The sequence below is a fragment of the Homo sapiens genome, chromosome 1 (assembly GCF_000001405.40).
Source record: "Homo sapiens chromosome 1, GRCh38.p14 Primary Assembly".
Taxonomy (NCBI): Eukaryota; Metazoa; Chordata; class Mammalia; order Primates; family Hominidae; genus Homo; species Homo sapiens.
In genome coordinates, this window is record NC_000001.11 from 45,932,053 (window position 1) to 45,955,483 (window position 23,431).

The window sequence follows — 23,431 nt, forward strand, 5'->3', positions numbered from 1 at the left end:
ATGAAGTTAACCTTGATCACTTTATTAACGTGGTGTTTTGCTGCTGTAAAGTTTTGCTGCTGTGAAGTTACTCTTTTTTTCCCTTTGTAATTAATAAGTATTTTATGGGAATGTTCTTAAAATTATGTAAGTACCCCATTCCTCATCAAATTTTAACCCTCTGTTTTTAGGATCCATTGATGTTCCTGGTTGCATTATTATACTATGCTGGTCACCAAATGGTATTTTTACAATTTCATAATTCTTTCTATACCCATCAGTTGGCATTTCACCATAGCAAAAGCTTTCACCTCTCCCTATTCATTTTTCACTTACTTTATTATACTGTATAAATTCAGTGGACTTTTGACTGGGCGCTGTGGCTCACACCTGTAATCCCAGCACTTTGAGGTGGGTGGATCACTTGAGGTCAGGAGTTCAAGACCAGCCTGGCCAACGTGGTGAAACCCTGTCTGTACTAAAAATGCAAAACTAGCCAGGCGTGGTGGCTCACGCCTGTAATCCCAGCTACATGGGAGGCTGAGGCACGAGAATCGCTTGAACCCAGGAGGCGGAGGTTGTAGTGAGCCAAGATCGCACCACTGCACTCTGGCCTGGGAGACAGAGTGAGACTCTGTCTTTCAACTGCCCCCTCCCCACTCCAAAAAAAATTTAGTGGATTTGTCTTATTTGATGGGTTATATAATCTGTTAATACCATTTTAGTTTTGATGCTCAAAATTGTATCATATCTGGTCAAGGGAAGTTTCTTCAGGCTGACTTTTGTGTCTTTTTGATGTCTCTGTCATTCTTTGAGAACTACGTAACTTTCTGCCCTGAGAAGATATTCCTGGCTGGCTTATTTTGTACCCTCACTAGCCCTTGAGCTTTTTCTCTAGGCAGCATAGTTCTTTTTAGTGGAGAATGCTTTTTAAAAGCCAAAATATGAATCAGGCATGGTATAATCCCAGCACTTTAGGGGGCTGAGGAGTTCAAGACCAGCCTGAGCAACTTAGTGAGACCCCATTTCTTTAAAAAAAAAAAAAAAAAAAAAAAAAGGCCAAGTGTGGTGGCACATGCCTGTAGTCCCAGCTACTCAGGAGGATCATTTAAGCCCAGGAGTTCAAGGTTGCAGTGAGTTATGATCACATCACTGTACTCCAGCCTGGGCAACAGAGCAAGACCCTGTCTCTTTAAAAAAAAAAAGCGGGGGGGTTGGGGGGGGCAAATGTTGATGGTAGACATGGTTGCCCATACTTAGGTTCACTGCTCCCGGGAAATGTATACATGTAACACACATGTATTTATTTCTTAATTTCTGTTATTGAAAACTATAAGCTCACACTGATACCTCCACTTCTAATTCTAGTTTGGTTCTAGTTTTTGTTTTTATATTTGTAACTTCCTTCTTTGAAAGTGAGAACTCTGGCCGGGCACGGTGGCTCACGCCTTTAATCCTAGCACTTTGGGAAGCCAAGGCAGGTAGGTCATCTGAGGTCAGGAGTTTGAGACCAGCCTGGCTGACATGGTGAAAACCCGTCTCTACTAAAAATGCAAAAAAAAAAAAAAAAAAATTAGCTGGGCATGGTGGTGGGCACCTGTAATCCCAGCTACTCGGGAGGCTGAGGCAGGAGAATTGCTTGAACCTGGGAGGCGGAGGTTGCAGTGAGCCAAGATCGTGCCATTGCACTCTAGCCTGGGCAACAAGAGCAAAAACTCAGTCTCAAAAAAAAAGAGAAAGTGAGAACTCTGACCCCCCATTACCCTTGATATATTTACTTATTTTTTTCTAGTCTCTAATTACTAGTTTATTTTCCTCAATTTGTTTTAGTAAACAAAATATTGTATCCTTCTACTTTAATGAAAAATTTTAAGTTTTTTTTTTTTTCCCCAACTTTAGCTTTAGGGTCAGGGGGTATTGTGCAGATATGTTACATGGGTAAATTGTGTGTTGTGGGGATTTGGTGTACAGATTATTTTGTCACTCATGTAATGAACGTAGTGCCCAATAGGTAGTTTTTCAGTTCTCTCCCTCCTCCCACCCTCCACCCTGATGTAGGCCTTGGTGTCTATTATTCCCTTCCTTGTGTCCATGTATATTCAGTGTTTAGCTCCCACTTATAGGTGAGAACATGGAGTAATTGGTTTTCTGTTCCTGCATTAATTCACTTAGGATGGTGGCCTCTAGCTGCATCCATGTTGCTGTAAAGAACATAATTTCCGGTGGGCGGATCATGAGGTCAGGAGATCGAGACCACCCTAGCTAACACGGTGAAACCCCGTCTCTACTAAAAATTACAAAAAAATTAGCCGGGCTTGGTGGCAGGTGCCTGTATTTCCAGCTACTCGGGAGGCTGAGGCAGGAGAATGGCCTGAACCCAGGACGCAGAGCTTGCAGTGAGCTGAGATTGTGCCACTGCACTCCAGCTCTGTTGCCTAGGCTTGAGTGCAGTGGCATGATCTCAGCTCACTGCAACCCCTGCCTTCTGGGTTCAAGTGATTCTCATGCTTCAGCTTCCCAAGTAGCTGGGATCACAGGTGTGTGCCACCACACCCGACTACTTTTTGTATTTTAGTAGAGAAGAGGTTTCACCATGTTGGCCAGGCTGGTCTCAAACTCTGCCTCAAGTGATCCACCTGTCTTGGCCTACCAAAGTGCTGGGATTACAGGAGTGAGCAACTGTGCCCGGCCAATTTCATTCTTTTTAATGGCTCTGTAGTATTCTGTGGTATGTGTATATGTACCATATTTTCTTTATTCAGTCCTCTGTTGATGGGCACCTAATTTGATTCCGTGTCTTTGCTATAGTGAATAGTGCTGTGATGAACATGTGAGTGCATATGTCTTTTTGATAGAACGACTTATTTTCCTTTGGGCATATTTCCAATGATGGGGTTGCTGGGTTGAAAGGTAATTCTACTTTTAGTTCTTTGAGAAATCTCCAAACTGCTTTCCACAGAGGCTGAACTAATTTACAATTCCACCAATAATGTACAAGAATTTCCTTTTGTCTGCAGTCTCGCCAGCATCCATTATTTTTTGGCTTTTTATTAATAACCATTCTGGTTAGTGTAAAATGGTATCTCCTTGTGGTTTTGATTTGCATTTCTCAGATGATTAGCGATGTGGAGCATGTTGTCGTGTTTGTTGGCTGCTTGTGTGTCTTCTGAGGAGTGTCTGTTCATGTCTTTTGCCTATTTTTTAATGGGGTTATTTGTTTTTTGCTTGTTCAGTTAAGGTTTTTTGTAGATTCTGGATATTAGACCTTTGTCAGATGTATATTTTGCAAATATTTTCTCCCATTCTCTAGGTTGTCTGTTTACTCTGTTGATAATTTATTTTGCTGTGCAGAAGCTCTTTAGTCTAATTAGGTCCCATTTGTCAATTTTTGTTTCTGTTGCAATTGCTTTTGGTGTCTTCATCATGAAGTCTTCCAGGGCCTATGTCCAGAGTGGTATATTTTAGGGTTTCTACTAGGGTTGTTATAGTTTTAGGTTTTACCTGTAAGCCTTTGATCATCTTGAGTTGATTTTTGTATATGGTGAAAGGAAGGGGTCTAGTTTCAACATTCTGCATACGGCTAGCCAGTTATCCCAGCACCATTTATTGAATAGGGATTCCTTTTTGCATTGCTTTTGTCCACTTTGTCAAAGATCAGAAGGTTGTAGATGTGTGGCTTTGTTTCTGGATTCTCTAACCTTTTCTATTGGTCTGTTTGTCTGGTTTTGTACCAGTACTATGCTGTTTTGGTTACTGTAGCCTTGTGGTATAGTTTGAAATTAGGTAGTATAATGCCTCTGGAATTGTTCTTTTTGCTTCTGCTTCAGATTGCCTTGGCTATTTGGGCTCTTTTTTGGTCCCATATGATTTTTAGAATAGTTTTCTCTAACTCTGTGAAAAACGTCGTTGGTAGTTTGAGAGGAATAACATTGAATCTGTAAATTGCTTTGGGCTGTATGGCCATTTTAACAATATTAATTCTTCCTATCTGTGAGCATGGCATAGTTTCCCATTTGTTTGTGTCATTTCTGACTTCTTTCAGCAGTGTTTTTTAATTCTTGTTGTAGAGATCTTTCACCTCCCTCTTTAGCCATATTCTTAGGTATTTTATTCGTTATGTGGTTATTGTCATTGGGATTTCATTCTGGATTTGACCCTCAGCTTGGACGTCATTGGAGTGTAGAATCACTACTGATTTTTGTATGTTGATTTTGTATCCTGAAACTTTGCTGAAGTTTATCAGATCTAGGAACCTTTGGGCAGAGGCTGTGGGGTTTTCTAGGTATATAGAATGGTAATTGTCTGTGAAGAGAGAGAGTTTGCCTTTTGTTTCTTTCTCTTGCCTAATTGCTCTGGCTAGGACTTCCTATGTGGAATAGGAGTGGTGAGAGTGGGCATTCTTGTTTTGTTCCAGTTCTCAAGGGGACCGTGTTTTTTGCCCAGCATGATGTTACCTGCAGGTTTGTCATAGACGGCTCTTATTATTTTGAGGTATGTTCCTTTGATGCTTAGTTTGTTGAGGTACTTGATTGTCTGATCATTTTTTCCTCTGTGTAACTAATCTCCTTTTGTAACCACCAGCCTTCTGTGTGTATGCCCTTCTCACTTCACTGGGTCTCCAATACCCCATGAAAGACTGGCACCACTGTTCTCTTCAAGCAGACAACTTCCTTATCCCCATCAGTCTCTGACATCCCAGGCCAGGTACCTCAACCCCAACCCAGCCACATGGCCACCATCATCATCATCATCTTGTGGCCTCTAGACTGAATTATTCAGGAAAGAAGGAGAGGAAGGAGGATTCTAAAGCCCCCTAAGTACCTCAGATTCAGTCTCAGGGGCCTGCACATTTTGAAACATCTGACTTGAGTTTTTTTAAGTTTCTTTATTTTTTAGAGATGAGTCCTCTCTTTGTTGTCCAGGCTGGCCTCAAACTCCTAGGCTCAAGCAGTCCTTCCACCTGGCCTCCTGAGTAGCTGGATCTAAAGGCATTATACCACCATGCCTGGGCTTTTTTTTTTTTTTCTCCAGTCACTTTTGTTTTTATTTATTCTAATATTATTTGTTTGTTTATTTATTTTCTTTCTAGAAATGAGATCTCACTACGTTGCCCAGGGTGATCCTAAACCCCTGGGCTCAAGTGATCCTTCCACTTCAGCCTCCTGAGTAGCTGAGACTAAAGGCATGCACCACCATGGGCAGCTTTTTTTTTTAATTACAGTCACTTTTATTTTCATTTTAAAATTTTATTTATTTACTTGCTTGTTCATTACTTTTTTTTTCTAGAAATGGGATCTCTCTGTTGCTCAGGCTGATCTCAAACTCCTGGGCCCAAGCGATCCTCCCACCTCAGCTTCCCAAGTAGCAAGGACTACAGGAGTGTGCCACCATGCCTGGCTGAGACAAAATTTACAAAGTATAAAATATGCCCATTGTGGTTGGGTACGGTGGCTTACGCCTGTAATCCTAGCACTTTGGGAGGCCGAGGCAGGTGGATCACCTCAGGTCAGGGGTTCGAGACCAGCCTGGCCAACGTGGTGAAGCCCCGTCTCTACTAAAAATACAAAAAAATTAGCCGGGTGTAGTGTCGCGTGCCTGTAATCCCAGCTACTTGGGAGGCTGAGTCAGGAAAATCACTTGAACCCGGGAGGTGGAGGTTGCAGTGAGCCGAGATCACACCACTGTACTCCAGCCTGGGAGACAGAGTGAAACTCCATCTCAAAAAAAAAAAAAAAAAAAAAAAAAAAAAAATTACCCATTGTAAGCAATTCAACGTAAGCGATTCAATGGTTTTTTACTAAATTTAATTGCCTATTGTAATCTCTTCAGTGTAAGGGATTCAATGGTTTTTACTAAATTTATATAATTATGTATTGTCACCATAATCCAAATTTAGAACACTTCTGTCACTCAGAAAGTTTACTTGTACCCACCTGTAGTTAATCCTACTCTTCTAATTCCTAGCTCTAAGCAATAACTCATCTGCTTTTTGGTTCTGTATTATGTGCTGCTAAATGTAGTTTTTTGTTTCTGGTTTCTTTCACTTAACATAATGTTTTTGAACTTTATACATGTAGCATATTCATTCCTTTCTATTGTTGAATAATGTTTTATTATTGGATAGACCATATTTTGTTAGTCCATTCACCAGTTGATGGACATTTATATTGTTTGCAGTTTGGGAGTATCACATTAATGGTGCTGTGTACATTTCCATGCATATCTTTGTGTGGACATATGTTTTTATTTCTTTTGGGAGTCAGAGAATTGTGTTGTATGGTAAGTTTATGTTTACTTTTCTTTTTTCTTGGAGATGGAGTCTCACTCTGTCATCCAGGTTGGAGTGTGGTGGTGTGATCATGGCTCATTGCAGCCTCAATCTCCTGGGCTCAGGGAATCCTCCTGCCTCAGCCTCCCAAGTGACTGGGACCACAGGTGCACACCACCATACCCAGCTAATTATTATTTTTTTATTTGTAGAGATGAGGTCTCACCATGTTGCCTACACTGGTCTTGAACTCCTGGGCTCAAGTGATTCTCCTGTCTTGGCCTCCCAAAGTGCCAAGATTACAGGTGTCAGCCACTGCGCCCAAACTATGTTTACCTTTTTAAAAAACACCAAACTGTTTTCTGCAGTGGACTGCATCATTTCACATTCACAGAGTTTATTTTTTAACATTCTCACCAGCACTAATTACTCTCTCTTCTTGATTTTAACCATTCTAGTGGTGTGTAGTATATCACTGTGGTTTTAATTTACATTTCCCTAATGGGTAATGATCTGAGCATCTTATCTCATTGTTAGCCATTTGTATATCTTTTTTGGTGGAATGTCTGATCAAATATTTTTGTTCATTTAAAAAATCTGTTCGTTTTTTTTTTAAATATTGAGCCTTGAGTTCTTTGTATGTTCTAGATACAAGCCCTTTATTAGCTATATGATTTGCAATTATTTTCTCCCTGTCTATGGTGGTTCTTTCCATGTATTTGGATGGTGTCGTTTGAAATGCAAAAATTGATAATTTTTTATTTTTTATTGATCATGCTTTTGGTATCTAAGAACTTACTTGCCTAACCCAAGCTGTTTTTTTTTTCCATTTTCTTCCAGAAGTTTTACATTTTCTACTCCTAAATTTAGGTTTATGATCCATTTGAGTTAATATTTATGTATGGTATGAGGTCAAATGTGTGTGTGTGACTGTCCAATTTTTCTAGCAGAATTCGCTGGAAAGGGTATCCTTCTACTATTGAATCCTCTTGACACCTTTGTTGAAGTCAATTGACCACAAGTGTTAACAGTTTATTTCTGGACTCTCTCTTGCCTTCCATTAATCTATATGCCTATCCTTGTGCTAATTCCACACTATCTTTGTTTAATGTGGCTTTATACTAAGTTTTGAAATCAGGTGGTATAATTCCTCCAACTTTGTTCTTTTTCAAAATTATTTTATGTGTTTTGGGTGCTTTGTGTTGCTATATAAGTATGAGGATCAATTTTTCAATTTTTTTTTGGGGGGGTGGGGTCGCAGGGGACAGTCTTGCTTGGTAGCCCAGGCTGGAGTGCAATAGCGCGATCTCAGCTCACTGTAACCTCTGCCTCCTGGATTCAAGTGATTCTTGTGCCTCAGCCTCCCAAGCAGTGGGACTACAGGCATGCACCACCACACCTGGCTAATTTTTTTGTATTTTTCCTAGAAACGGAGTTTCACCATGTTGGCCAGGCTGGTCTCAAACTCCTGACCTCGTGATCTGCCCACCTTGGCCTCCCAGAGTGCTGGGATTACAGGTGTGAGCCACCGTGCCTGGCCCAATTTTTCAATTTCTACAAAAGACCTTGCTGGCATTTTGATAATGATTACTTTGAATTTATACATCAGTTTGAGGGAGAATTGCCATCTCAACAACACTGAGTTCTAATCCAAGAACGGAAGTTCTCTATTTATTTAGGGTTTTTTTTTTTTTTTTTTTTTGAGATGGAGTTTCGCTCTTTTGCCCAGGCTGGAGTGCTGTGGCACAATTTCGGCTCACTGCAGCATCCACACCACCCCCACCCCGGGTTCAAGTGATTCTCCTGCCTGAGCCTCCCGAGTAGCTGGGATTATAGGTGCCCACTGCCACGCCTGGCTAATTTTTGTATTTTTAGTAGACATGGGGTTTTGCCGTGTTGGCCAGGCTGGTCTCGAACTCCTGACTTCAGGTGATCCACCCGCCTCGGCCTCCCAAAGTGCTAGGATTAAAGGCATGAGTCACCATGCCCGGCCTATTTAGCTTTTTAAAATTTTCTTTTAGTGTTTCATAGTTTTCAGCATACAAGTCTCATACTTCTTTTGTTAAATTTATTTCTAAGTATTTTAATATTTCTAATGCTATTGTGAGTGGGGTTGCCTTCCTAATTTCATTTTTGGGTTGTTTGTTGCTAGAATATAGAAATACATTGACTTTTGTCTATCTGTGTCAAAGTCAAATAAAAATATAGAGATAAATCTCTAAACAAAATGTTTTCTTTGGGAAAACAGAAATGTAATTTCGGGCATACAAACAGAGTAGAGTAGTCTTCAGTGTGTCTACAGAGCAAAGAGAAGGTTGAGGATTTTTTTTTTTTTTTTGAGACAGAGTCTCGCTCTGTCGCCCAGGCTGGAGTGCAGTGGCGCGATCTCGGCTCACTGCAATCTCCGCCACCCGGGTTCACGCCATTCTCCTGCCTCAGCCTCCTCAGTAGCTGGGACTACAGGCACCTGTCACCACGCCCTGCTAATTTTTTTGTATTTTAGTAGAGATGGGGTTTCACCGTGTTAGCCAGGATGGCCTCGATCTCCTGACCTCATGATCCGCCCGCCTCAGCCTCCCAAAGTGCTGGGATTACAGGCGTGAGCCACCGCGCCTGGCCTATGAGGATTTTATTAGAAAGAGAATTGTTGCATATTGTTTTGAAAGAAAAGTCATTGGTACTTGCAAAGTTTTTAGAAGCTGGCAAGCTCTGATTGGTGAATGACAGTGGTAGATAAAACTGGTCTTAAGGTTTTAGCAGGTTATTTTGGCAGCTAGCTTGCAGTATAATTTCTGGGTTGGTGCTTTGTGCCCTGAGTGCTTTTCTTTTCCTCTTGTCTTGATTCTACTTGGGTATGACAAGATAGCTCCAATTCATATAATCAGTTTTTCACACATGTATTTGGTGACATGACCAAACTTATTTATATAAGTTTTATTAGGTGTTTTTGTTTTTTTATTTGTTTGTTTTTGTTTGTTTTGACAGAGTCTTGCTCTGTCACCCAGGGTAGAGTGCAGTGGCGGGATCTCGGCTCACTGCAGCCTCCACCTCCTGGATTCAGGTGATTCTCCTTCCTCAGCCTCCCGAGTAGCTGGGATTGCAGGCGCCTGCCACTGCGCCTAGCTAATTTTTCTATTTTTAGTAGAGACGGGGTTTCACCATCTTGGCCAGGCTGGTCTTGAACTTCTGACCTTGTGATCCACTCACCTTGGCCTTCCAAAGTGCTGGAATTACAGGCGTGAGCTACCGTGCCTGGCCGTTTTAATAGTTTTTTAAAAATTTCTTTGGGATTTTCTACATATAGGATTGTTTTGTGTGTGAATGATAACAGTTTTACTTATCTTCCAATCTTTTTTATTTGTTTATTCCTATTTGTTTTTTGTTTTTTTATTTGTTTATTCCTTATTGCACTGGCTAGAACCTCTAGTACAATGTTGAATAGAAGTGGTAGAAGCCAACATACTTGCCTTGTTCCTCCTCTTAGGGAGAAAAGCATTCAGTCTTGTTGTCAAATATGTCTTCTGCATCTATTGAGATGGTTGTGTAGTTTTTGTCCTTTATTCTTGTAATATATTGTAACACAATTATGAAGAAGTGTTTGGAGAGTAATACATTCGCTACTAGAACAGTTTAGGTTTGCTTTTGTTAAGGTGCGAGAAGTTTTACCCACCATTGCTTTTATAACATCAGTGCAAATGCCAACCCAGTGAATAAGGTAAATGATGTCTCAATATTCCTGTGAAAATAGTTTTGACTTTGCTGTCCTCCTGAAAGAGTCTCAGGGACCCCAAGAGGTTTGCCAACCATACCTTGAGAATCACTGTCCAGCTTGATTGTAGTGGGTTTCTTTTTTTTTTTTTTTAACTGAACCAGCTCAAGTTTTACAGAATTAAAACATGTATGTTTATAAAGGATATGGAACTGTAATTTTCTTAGACTGTTGCTATCTGGCTTTGAATCAAAATTACAGTAATGTTGTAAATTAACTTAAGCAGCTTTTTCTTTTATTCTATTTTCCAGCACTTTATAAGACAAAGACCACTTGTTTGAAAGTTTTTTAGTTTTCTTCAGTAAAGCTACCTGTGGTGATGAGGACATGGAGATGCATAATAGAGTTTTACACTTGGCAACATGTATTCATGTGGGAAAACTCAGTGATGAGTAACTCAAAGAGGTGCTGAGAATTCGGTGCTTGTACACCATTTCATTTATTTTTTATTTATTTTTTAACTTTTAGGTTTGGGGTACATATGCAGGTTTGTTATATAGGTAAATTGCATGTTATGGGGGTATTATATACCATTTTAACAAAGGATGATTAATTGTGAAGTAACTAGACAAAGGCTTGGGCTGCTAGGGGCAGTAAATTGTGTGAAGGTGACTAGGAAATGTTTGGTAAATAAGGGTTTAGTAACACTTGTCATGTAGATTCAAGTCACTGCTGTCTCTAGTGATAAGAATGATCTCCAGTGATTAAGAATCTTCCTGGTACATGAGATAGAACACCTTTACAAATGCAAATTTATATTACTTTTACAAAAGGGAAATTTATACCTTACTTTTAGGCAGAAAGGGGGAAGGCAGAGAGTTTGTTGCTTCTTAGTGTCTTTAGCCAAAGTGGCATACTTTAGGATAACATTTCCTGGTCCCCTTTAGAAGAATAATACAAGATTCAGTGTCAGTGTATGGAAGCCAATCAATCCCCAATTCTGTCCTGGAGAACACAGGGAAGGCTTCAGAGAGAAGGAAATTTGAGCTGAGAAGTGAAAAATTAACATGTATTAGGTATACATTTGGGATAAGGGTATTTAAGTTGAAACAGTAGCATATGCAAGAGAATAGAGACATAATGGTATGGCCTTGTTTACTACTGGATGTAAAGTGTGTGCATGGTAGATTCTTGGAGGCATGATGATGGGTGGGACAAATTAGCAGGGGGCTATACCATGAAGAGTCTTGATTGTCATGCTCATCACTAATTTGGATATTTATTTATTTATTTGGCCATAGCAGTTGGAGGATTTTGAACAGGAGATTTATGTGATCATCTGATAGTTTGGTCAGGGGCATCCAGACTAGAGTGACTCCATCTTGATTAAAGGCCAGATAAAGCCAAACCTCCTGGGTTACATTCCCAAGGGGTTGGACACTGTTGGTCACAAGATGTTTAGGGTTGAGGGAACAAGTTAATGATGCTAACTAACGAAAAGATGCTTATGAAACTTATGAAATGTTTCAGTACTTGAAGATCAAAAAGCATTCTTAGTTTAAGAATAGGTTTTGCTTTCATACAAAATTAGCTGGGCGTGGTGACGCGTGCCTGTAATCCCGGCTACTCAGGAAGGCTGAGGCAGGAGAATCGCTTGAACCCGGGAGGCAGAGGTTGCCGTGAGCCAAGATCATGCCGTTGCACTCCAGCCTGGGCAACAAGAGCAAAACTCTGTCTCAAAAAATAAATAAATAAATAAATAAAAAATAGGTTTTGCTTTAAAGATAATAATGCACTCATGAATTTTTGCTAAAATCCGTAGTAACATAGGGAAATAACACTACTGATAGCCTGTCACAGCTGATCACAAGCCTTTGTAATGAAGTACACTATCCTTAACAACCTATATAAGCAAGCAGTATGTTTAAGGTAGGGGTGTTCCTCCTCTTGAATTCTGAGGATGTCCTGCTCTGTAATAGAGAAGTCTCTAATAAACTTCGCTATACTCTGTGACACCCTGAATTATTTCCTGCATGAGATCCAAGAACCTGCTCTTGGGGTCTCAGACAAGACCTCTTTTCTAGCGACAGTCTTCTTTAAACATGCCACTATAGCTTGGATTTGAGCCATGATTGTACCAACTAAAATGCACAATAATTACTGCCATCATATTCTCCTACCTAGGTAATATCACTTCCTTTCTTGTACTCTTTACATACGTGTAAGCCACCCACATTTTAAATTTAATTTTTATTTTGTCAAAGAAATATGTGGACATAATTTCAAAAGTCTGTTAGTTCTTTAAAGCTAATAAAGGGATTTTGAAATTCCCTTACCCCATTCCTACCATCCTTGATTTTTATTTATTGAAACCAACTACTTTAAATTTTTTTATCTATTTCAGTGTCAAATTAATACAACTTAATATTATTTCTAATAAAGTCATTGTGCATTATGATTATGTCTGTTTTCTTTTGCAACTTTTTGTTTTCCTGAGGGTAATAATGGTCTCACTTTTGCATTGCTTTATATTCTATGTAGCAATCATTTATTCACCCCAAATTTTCTATCAGAGCTCCAAAATGTTTTTCAGTATATTACATTAGATGATTTAATCTCCTAATTTAATCTTCTCCCCCACCATACTCCATCCTTCCAGAAACATTTCTTCTAGAGCCTTCTCGTCTTCTCCTCCAACTCAGAGTGATTATTTTCTAGTCCCCTTGCATATTTATTTGCCATCATGGTATTTCCAGTATCTCTCTCTACTGTGGGTTCTGAATTCCTCAGATCTTCTGCCTTCCTCTTGGAAGCCTCCTGTCCTTCTGTGCCACGACTGCCTGTGCCAAAATATGTTGTGAGTTCTCTTCTTCACATATCTAAGTCTCTTCAGCTATGAGCCTCTGAAGGCCAAGGATTGAGTATACTTGCACCTTTTTGAGTATTTTAAGTGCCTGACATAGAACCTTGCAATTAGCTGTCATTAAAAAATGACTGTGGACCAGGTGTGGTGGCTCCTGCCACAAGCCTTTGTAATGCCCAGCATTTAGGGAGACTGAGGCAGGAGGGTCACTTGAGCCCAGCAGTTCATAACCAGCCTGGGCAACATAGTGAGATCTTGTCTCTATGAAATAATAAACAAAATTTAGCCAGGTGTGGTGGTGTGCACTTATTCCCAGCTGCTCAGGAGGCTGTGGTTGGAGGATCACTTAATCCTGGGAGGTCAAGTCTATAGTGGACTGAGATTGCACCACTGCAATCCAGCCTAGGTGACAGAGTGAAACCCTATCTCAAAAAGACTGTGTTTTCTGATCATGGCATGTGACAAATAATACAAATGAAATAAAAAATAAAAAATTGAGGGTAAAAGAAAAAACAGAATAATAAAAAGATAAAACAACAACCATAAAAATGACCATGATGATACTGGTCTATTGAAAGTGGGGGGCCTGGTCCTTATGTAGCGTCTCTACCCATGGCTGCCTCGTAGAAACTAACTGTGTTCTAATCTTTTCTGCTATGGAAATTTGGGCACAGGCCAGACAGCTGGGCAATTTATTGAGGAAGGAGGTAGAAAAGAAGGATTGTTACTAATACAGGATGGGTTTAATCTGTATTAGTAGCAGATTAAACTGTGTATTAAGTAACAGATTAAAGTATGTATTAGTAACACTTAAACTATGTATGTATTGGGCCAAAATACATAGTAATTACAGGACATTTTGCATTTCCTGTCAACCACTAGCTCTCAAAGCTACTGGTCTAGAAATGTAACCTGTGAGTGGGCTTATAATTTGGAGCTTCCAGAGAAATCCAGAGGCCATGGGAACTAGTAAAGACAAACCAAATATACCACAACTTCCCAGACACTATGTTATCAGGGCAGTCTATACTAGTTCCAAGGCCCATGTTTGTGGATGGCCTCAGTAGTGGAAGTGTACTCCATTCAGAGAAAAAAATCTATAGTCTCACTGGCTGCTTTCCTTTGATTACCAAGAGATGTACTGCTTTAAGAATACATTACAAAACCATTATCTCCCTTTCCTTAATTCTCCAGTCTCTCCCATTCATTAATTCTCCAAATAATAAACATGTATCAGGCACTGTCCTGGACACTGGAAATATAGGCATGCCTAGAATACCCAGAATCTGAGGCAGTGCCCAGTCTAGGGTTTTTAAATTTTTCTCCTATCTCTTTTACCAGGTTGATTCCATTAGAACTGTGTGAATGTCAACTGCAAATAATCAAAGACAGAATTATCTTGTTTTCTTGGTGGTGGGGAGATTTACTAAGGTGTGGTGGAAAATCCTATCCTCATCTTGAGACTGGGGATGGAGACAAGTTGCCTGTCATGAAGGGAACTTGCTACTACGTCACATAAATTATTCCAGGGCAGAAGATTGTACTGGCTTATATTTGGCCAATTTCCTCCCTCTCTTTATGTCTTTTCTTTAAAACCCTTGATTCCTTCCAAGTGTTCTTAGTCTATTAAATTCATGATATCTTGGGCTTGGCATTCCAGGTTTAGACCTGTATTTGTTTCTTTTCCCTGTAAGTTGTAACTGTTGCAGGAACATGTAGCAGAGATGTTTAGATTTGGCTGGTATAATCTGCCTGGGACTGAATTATGCTTCCTTTGCATTGCTGGTGGTCTTTTCTGCTATAAGATATAGTGAAAGGATTCAGGATTGTTCAGTGTAGAGATAATCTGTACCTCTTTATTTTTTGTCTGGCTCAAGATAGCGCTCTCTTTATTGTGTCCTGATATAGGGTTGATAGTCACAATAGTAGTCAAGGTGGTCACGACTAAAGACTTTGGTGGGAGCATACTGTTTCCTTAGTCTCTGTCATAGCAGACCTGCTCCCCAATATTTGTGCCTACGTCAGAGTTTTGCACCAGTCCCTAGGGTACTTATTGCTGTCCTCTCGTCCATGAAGTTAGGCCACATAAAATGCCCTTGATTTTCTGGATACTTGACTTTTAGATCATTTGAGGATGAAGCACCACACTAAGAAAGTCCGAGGGCAAAGAAAATTCAAGTTAGATTAGGCCTTCAAATAATGTTATTATTTTATCTTGACTTAGGGAAAGCTATGTAGCATTTCTTAGCCTTCAGTTCCTTGTCCAAATAAAGGGATAATAATAGTCGCTGCTTCATAGGGTGTGAGATACTACATGTAATGCTTTAAACCAGGGTTGTTAGTTTTACAAGCCAATCTTTTGGCTTCCCTCTGCCACATAGGAAGAATTGTCTTGGGCCACACACAGAATACACTAATGATAGCTGATGAGCTTTAAAAAAAAAAAAAAAAAAAAAAAAACCCAAACACCTCATAATGTTTTAAGAAAATTTCCAAATTTGTATTGAGCCACATTCAAAGCTGTCCTGGACTGCATGTGGCCTGTGGGCTGCCAGTTGGACAAGTTAGCTTTAAACCAAGCCCAGTGAGCTCTTAGTAATTGTTAGATATTATCATTGTTGTTTTAAATGCATAGCTGATTTCAGCAGAACATGAGGAAAACCCTGAGGGACCCAAATCAGAGAGAGAAAACAACACCTAATCAATAAGAGTAGAAGTGCTAGCCAGAGCAGTAGGCAAGAGAAAGAAATAAAGGGTACCCAAATAGAAAGAGAGGAAGTCAAACTACCCTTGTTTGCAGATGACATGATTCTATATGTAGAACACCTGATAGTCTCAGCCCAAAAGCTTCTTTTATTTTTTTGAGACGGAGTCTCGCTCTGTCGCCCAAGCTGGAGTGTAGAGGGCCCATCTCGGCCCACTGCAAGCTCCACCTCCCAGGTTCATGCTATTCTTCTGCCTCAGCCTCCCGAGTAGCTGGGACTACAGTTGCCCGCCACCACACCCGGCTAATTTTTTGTATTTTTAGTAGAGACAGGGTTTCATCATGTTAGCCAGGATGGTCTTGATTTGCTGACCTCGTGATCCACCTGCCCTGGCTTCCCAAAGTGCTGGGATTACAGGCATGAGCCACTGCGCCTGGCCCCAAAAGCTTCTTAAGCTGATAAACAACTTCAGCAAAGTTTCAGGATACAAAATCAATCACTAGCAGAAAGCACTAGCATTCCTATCCGCCAACAGCAGCCAGGGAGAGAGCCAAATCAGGAAGGCAGTCCCATTTACAATTGCCACAAAAAGAATAAAATACCTAGGAATACAGCTAACCAGAGACGTGAAAGATCTCTACAATGAGAATTGCAAAACACTGCTCAAAGAAATCGGAGAGGACACAAACAAATGGAAAAACATACCATGCTCATGGATAGGAAGAATCAATATCATTAAAATGATCATATTGCCTGAAGCAATTTATAGATTGAATGCTATTTCTATCAAACTACCAAGAGTATTCTTCACAGAACTAGAAAAATTATTTAAAAAATTATATGGAACCGGGCCGGGTGCGGTGGCTCACGCCTGTAATCCCAGCACTTTGGGAGGCCAAGGCGGGTGGATCATGAGGTCAGGAGTTCAAGACCAGCCTGGCTAATATGGTGAAACCCCATCTCTAGTAAAAATACAAAAAATTAGCTGCATGTGGTGGTGTGTGTCTGTAGTCTCAGCTACCTGGGAGGCTGAGGCAGGAGAATTGCTTGAACCTGGGAGGTGAAGATTGGAGTGGACTGAGATCATGCCACTCCATTCCAGCCTGGGCGACAGAGTGAGACTCCATCTCAAAAAAAAAAAAAAAAAAAAAAAAAAAGTCATATGGAACAAGAAAAGAGCCCAAATCGCCAAGGCAATCCTAAGCAAAGAGAACAAAGCTGACTTCAAACTATACTACAGGGCTACAGTAATTAAAACAGCATGGTGCTGGTACAAAAACAGGGACATAAACCAATAGAACAGAACAGAGAGCCTATTTTAAAAATCAGGGGTTTTAAAATCGTAGGCCACACACCTATGATAACCTGATCTTTGACAAAGCTGACAAAAACAAGCAATGGGGAAAAGACTCCCTATTCAGTAAGTGGTTCTGGGATAACTGGCTAGCCATAAGCAGAAGACTGAAGCTACATAGTACCCCTCCTTTACATCATATACAAAAATCAACTCAAGATGCGTTAAAGACTTAAACGTAAAACTATGAAAACCCTGGAAGACAACCTAAGCAGTACCATCCTGGACACAGGAATGGGCAGATTTCATGACAAAGACACCAAAAGCGATTGCAACAAAAGCAAAAATGGACAAGTTTAATTAAACTTAAGAGGTTCTGCACAACAAAAGAAACTATCAACAGAGTAAACAGACAACCTACAGAATAGGAAAAAATATTTGCAATCTGCATCTGACAAAGGTCTAATATTCAGCATCTATAAGGAACTTAAACAAATTTACAGGAGAAAAACAACCCCATTAAAAAGTGGGCAAAGGACGTGAACAGATACTTTTCAAAAGAAGGCATACATGCGACCAACAAGCATAAGAAAAAAAGCTCAATATCACCGAGCATTAGAGAACTGCAAATCAAAACCACAATGAGATCTATCATTTCACACCAGTCAGAATGGCTGTTGTTAAAAGTAAAAAAATAACAGATGCTGGCAAGGTTGTGGAGGAAAGGGAACACTTACACACTGTTGGTGGGAGTGTAATTTAGTTCAACCATTGTGGAAAGCAGTATGGTGATTCCTCAAAGAGCTAAAAGCAGAAGTACCATTTGACCCAGCAATTTCATTACTAGGTATATACCCAGAGGAATATAAATCATTCTGCCATAAAGACACATGCACACGAATGTTCATTATAGCACTATTCACATTAGCAAAGACATGGAATCAACCTAAATGCCCATTAATGATAGATGGGATAAAGAAAATGTGGTACATATATACCATGGAATGTTATGCAGCCATAAAGAACAAGATCATGTCTTTTGCGAGAACATGGATGGAGCTGGAGGCTACGATCCTAAGTAAACTAACCCAGGAACAGGAAACCAAATACCGCATGTTCTTACTTATAAGTGGGAGCTGAATGAAGATAACTCATGAACACAAAGAAGGGAAAACAACAGACATTGAGGTCTACTTGGGGGTGGAGAGAGAGAGGAGGGAGAGGAGCAGGAAAAGTAACTATTGGGTGCTAGGCTTAATATCTGGGTGATGAAACAACCTATACAACAAACCCCTGTGTCAGGAGTTTACCTATGTACCTGAATATGTACCCCTGAACCTAAAAAATAATAATAATAACAGTGGGAGCCAGCTTTGAAGCTTCCAAAAATGGGGTCAGGGAGGAGATGTGCTAGTCTCAATAACCTTGAGGGGAAAAAAGATGAGGTCTTGGCTTGTTTAGTGTAAGCAATTAGAATGGACACCCCCTACATACAATTAGGACCCTCAAAAGACTTCACCCTCAGTGCAGGAATGGACTAGGAAAACCACTGGCATGTACAGATAAAAAGAACTTTCTTAATCTCATCTGGATTTTAAATAGGGCTTTTAATAAAGGAAAGACGTCTCCCTTGAAAATTTCTACCTGTAAGCCTTCACTTAACTGAAATTGGGGGTTGGAGTTTATACTCTTTGTGTGGTCTAGAAGCTGGTTCTGGGCTGGTAATAACTCTGGCTCATCTGTCAGAAACAAACTTAACACTTCTATTAAGTGACATACCCTCAAATCAGGTATCATAGGATTCTCATAAATGCAGCTTCACTGAAGGTAAGTTTGTAGTACAAAATTACAAACCAACCAACCAATCTCCCCTAAGTGAAAATCAATAGATAAAAGAAACAGTTTGGAACTTCAGAAAGTAGCATTAGAGGGTGGGCACAGTGGCTCACAACTTTCATCTTAATACTTTGGATGGCTGAGGCGAGTGGACTGCTTGAGCCCAGGAGTTCGAAACCAGCCTGGGCAACATGGTCAAACCCTGTCTCTACAAAAAAATACGAATGTTAGCTGAGTGTGGTGGCTCATGCCTGTAATCCCAGCACTTTAGGAGGCTGAGGTGGGAGGATCGCTTGAGCCCGGGAGTTCAAGACCAGCCTGAACAACATAGTGAAGTCTCATCTCTACTAAATTTTTTTTTTTTTAATTAGCTGGGCATGGTGGTGCATGCTTGTTTTCTCAGCTACTTGGGAGGCTGAGGTGAGGATTGCTTGTGTCAGGGAGGTCAAGGCTGCAGTGAACTGTGATTGTGCCATTGCACCCTAGCCTGGATGACAGAGTGAGAACCTGTCTCAAAAAGAAAAACAAAGTAACATTAGAGATTAAGACTGTAAGATTAGTATATTTAAAATTATTAAGAATATAAAAGAAGGAGGCTGGACATGATGGCTTATGCCTGTAATCCCAGCAGTTTGGGAGGACAAGACGGGCGGATCACTTGAGCCCAGGAGTTCAAGACCATCCCAGACAATATGGTAAAACCCTGTCTCTACAAAAAATACAAAACTTAGTCAGGCATGGTAGCATGGGCCTGTGGCCCCAGCTACCCTGGAGGCTGAGGTGGGAGGATCACCTGAGCCCAGGAAATAGAGGCAACAGTGAGTGGAGATTGAGCCACTGCACTCCAACCTGGGTGACAGAGTGATCCCCTGTCTCAAAACAAACAAAAAAGAATATAAAAGAAGGAAACAGAAACAAGAGAAAAAAAGACCAAATATATTTGGACAAAAAGCTAATTAGAATTCGAGGAATAAAATATATGTATTGTGTTGTTGAAATTGAAAATGCAACAGTCGTGTTAAATAATAGAGCTGTGGACAAAGTAAAATTTTTATCAAGAGTGCAAGACAGAAATGGGAAGATATAAACTATGAATGAAAGCTAAGAAATACAGAAGATATGATCAGATGGTCCAACAGAATATGGAGAAATGGGAAGAGGCAGTATTCATAGAGATAATGACTGAGACCTTCCAGAACTGATTAGAAACAAACAAGGAACATCTTGAAGCATGGTGAGTCCCCACTATAATAAATAAAAATAAATCCCCATCTAGATACATTGCAGTACTGCAGAGCCATGAAAACAAAGAGAATATCTTAAAGAACCCTCAAGAATTCACTAAAGTAAAAGAGCTCAGCAAGAAAGTTCACTCAAGAAAATTGAAAATATATGTTCATGCAAAAACTTGTAAACAAATGTTCACAGCAGCAGCATCTATGATAACCAAAAAGTAGTAACAACCCAAATACCTTGTCATTTTATGAAAGGATTAACAATTGTGGCATGGAGAATTTATGCATGCCACAACATGCATGAAAACATGCTGAGTAAAAGAAGCCAAAGACTACATAATGTATGATTCAGTTTCTGTGAAATGTCCAGAATACGTAGAGTCCACAGAGACAGTGAATCCATAGAGACAGTACGTTGGTGGTTGGTTGTGGGGAGAATGGGATGGAGAATGACTGCTAATGGGTACAAGGTTTCTTTTTGGCAATGAAAATATTCTGGAATTAGATAGTGGCAGTGCTTGCACAGCCTTGTGAATATACTAAAAATGAATGAGTTGTACATTTTAAAAGGGTGAATTTTATATTGTTGGAAATATATCTAAAAAAATAAGTTAATGGTTAAAATAAAGCAACCAGACAGAAAAAGAAAAATTAAGTACAAAGGAACAGCACTTATGCTAAGAGTAAGCTTTTCAACAGCAATAACAGGAGCCATAAGACTACAGAATAATATTTTTAAAGTATTGAGAAAAAAGTTACTCTGAACAAGACACTAGAATTATCCATACTTGCTAAATTAGCAGTGGAAGTGAGTGACCAAAAAAAGCCATTTTCAGACCATCAAAAACCAAGAGAACAAAATCTATAGAGAAGATTTATTACTATCAGATCCTCTCTGAAATAATTACTACAGGATATATTTCAGAAACAAAGAAGAAATACATGAGATCCCAAGAGGGAATGTTAAGCAGTGAAATTAGAAAATACATGAGTAAATCTAAGCAAGCAATTATTGTATAAAATAATAATTACTAATTTGGCAATGTAAAAGTAAGATAGACCTGAAATAATAGATTGTAATAATAGGTAAGTTGAAAGGGAGTGGGAGGATTGGAGTTAAAAGCGATCTAGGATCTTTTAATTTTGTTCAGAAAGAGAGTTGAGGTGCTGGTTAACTTTAGACATTGTTGAGACAAGAACACCTATTAAACCTTGAATAATAACAACTACTTTAGGACAGAAAAAAACAAAACAATATGTAATTTCTAAACCAATAGAGCAGAGGTTAAAAAAAAAAACTTGATTAATTCAAGGAGAGTTGCCATCAGACTTGGAGGAAAACTTTACCTTAGAGCAAAGACTTTTCTCCTAGTTCCTCTGATGCCTGCTGCCCTTGCGGGGAATTCTGACTACCTGCTTCTGTGGAAATACATTCATTTGTTCAATAAACACTTGTCGAAAACCTCCTATGCCCTGTGTACTATTTCTAGGTGATTGGGATACCTCTTAGAGCTCACTCTAGAAAAGAAGAAACAGACAGTAAACATAGTTTATGTAGTATGTTAGAAGATGACAAATGCTATTGGGAAAAAAGGTAGACCAAAGGGGATTCAGGAAAACAGAAAATTGGGAAGGTGACATTAGAATAAAGCCTTGAAGGAGTGAGGGATTTTGCCATTGTGTAGTTGAAGGAAGGACATTGCAAGTAAAGGGAACAGTTAACGCTGGTCCTAGTAGCTAGAAGTGCCTGTGCAAAATTAGCAGCCTGTGGAAGGTTTTGAGCAGAGGAATGAAATAATCAGATGTGTGCTTTAAAAGAATCACTGTGGCTTGCTCATATTAAGAACAGATTAGGGTAGAAGACAAGAGTAAACCAGAGAGACTAGTTAGGAGGGTATTGAAATCCAGGTAAGCAATAAATAATATATCAATAATAATATAATGGATACGTAATAATATCTCCCTTTATTGGGGAGGGAATATGTATTTTTTTCCCACTCTCACTTCCCCATCTTAACCAGGACATCTTGGTTGTTACTCTGAAATATTATAGCATCTGGAAGTGCTTGACTGTAACCAGCTCCACATTCTTCTTTATATTGTTTACACTTACTGAAACAGAAGTGATCTTTTCCTCATTCTAAATTCTAAAAGGTGCCTGCCAAGTACTATCCAGTCACGGAGTGCTCAAGTTCCTAGGAGCAGCTAGACCTCTGAGATTTGGAGACTGGAGAGACCTAAGGGATCTGCAACCAGACATCTTATTCCATACCCTTTGTTGCTTCACAGTGGGAAGCAGGCTTCCTAAGTAAATTTACAGCAGCTCTTGCAGGGGTCAGATTTTCCGAGTGCCTGCTAGTTGCTGGAGGGAGGGGTTTTTGAAGGCTAGAAACGATCTACTACTCTCCAAATGTGGTTACAATTCAACATTGTCACAGAGAATGCACGATATGCCTTAGCCCTTGTTCTTGCTGTTGACTGAGATGACCATGGCGAGGTATGTAAGAAATTGAAATGCCAAGTCTCACTCCAAGTAGCCAAGTGACTGGGATGATTTAACACCAGTCTTTGCATGAGGTAGCTCCGGGGGCTTCCAGGCTACCACCCGTCCGCTGAGAGTTAGTGTACCCAACTCTGCAGATATCCAGTACTTCATCTTACTGGAATGAAAGAATTAAGACTTGCCCTTTATCTTCTTAGGATCCTGGGGAAATGGCCAGAGCCTGTTGAAATGGAAAAATTAGCCAGTTCCTTGTTGTGGATCTCAGCTGAGTCATGGTATCTGTAGCAGAGTGTCTGACCTTTTTTTCCCCTGGCAGCTGTTAAAGATTTGCCAAGTGAGATTATGTGTACCTTTATAAAAAGGCATGTGGCCTGGAAATACGATCTTTAGTGTTTTGGCTTTTATTTTAAATTTTAAATAAGGTTAAGGCAAATGAAGCTGGAATTAATTATCCGTCCCTGAAGTTTCAAGACATTTTCACTTTCAGACACAAGGATTTAGATATAACAGTTTGATTTACCTTTCATAGGCCAGGTATACATGTATCTTCTTTATTTTAATCCTTGTAACAAATCATACTCATCCATTCATTTAACAAATACTTATTGAGAGCCTACTGTGTGCCAGGCAGCGTTCTAGGTATTGAGGAGTGCAGCAGTACACAAAGCATACAAAAGCCCCTGCCCTCATACAGTTTAATTTCTGATGAGAAGAGAGACAACAAAATGAATGTGCAAAATATATACCATCATATATATATTGGGGATTAGTTCCAGGACCCACACGGATACCAAAATCTGCAGATGCCCAAGTCTCTTATATAAAAGAGCATACATAATATTCGCATATAACCTATACACATCTTCCTGTATACTTTAAATCATCTCTAGATTATTTATAATATCTAATACAAAGCAAATCCCTGCAAATAGCTGTTATACTATATTTTTAAAATTTATATTATTTTAAAAGTTTTAAAAAATATTTTCCACCCATAGTTGGTTGAATCCATGGATGTGGAACCCACATGCTGACTGTA

General features: G+C 39.7%; 1 protein-coding gene across 34 annotated transcripts in view, besides 2 other annotated features; it reads left to right on the forward strand.

The window, feature by feature from the left end:
* The window catches only part of MAST2 (microtubule associated serine/threonine kinase 2), a 232,511-nt gene that overhangs the window by 128,441 nt on the left and 80,639 nt on the right, over positions 1-23,431 (forward strand). The window contains exon 3 of one of the 34 annotated variants that reach the window (NM_001324321.2): positions 171-221. The exons of 31 other annotated variants lie outside the window; for them this stretch is intronic. In NM_001324321.2, the coding sequence (NP_001311250.1) occupies positions 205-221 (17 nt within the window). In that variant the 5' untranslated portion in view covers positions 171-204. Of the gene's footprint in view, positions 1-170; positions 222-21,907; positions 22,387-23,431 lie in introns of those variants that run through there. 2 more of the 34 variants (XM_011541067.3, XM_011541068.2) reach the window with 2 other exon arrangements.
* Positions 8,935-9,436: an enhancer, noted in NCBI's record as "H3K4me1 hESC enhancer chr1:46406659-46407160 (GRCh37/hg19 assembly coordinates)". NCBI's record gives its function as "activates a minimal SCP1, AML or CMV promoter by ChIP-STARR-seq in naive H9 embryonic stem cells {active_cell/tissue: H9 hESC(naive)}" and the evidence as "EXISTENCE:reporter gene assay evidence [ECO:0000049][PMID:30033119]".
* Positions 9,437-9,936: an enhancer, noted in NCBI's record as "H3K4me1 hESC enhancer chr1:46407161-46407660 (GRCh37/hg19 assembly coordinates)". NCBI's record gives its function as "activates a minimal SCP1, AML or CMV promoter by ChIP-STARR-seq in naive H9 embryonic stem cells {active_cell/tissue: H9 hESC(naive)}" and the evidence as "EXISTENCE:reporter gene assay evidence [ECO:0000049][PMID:30033119]".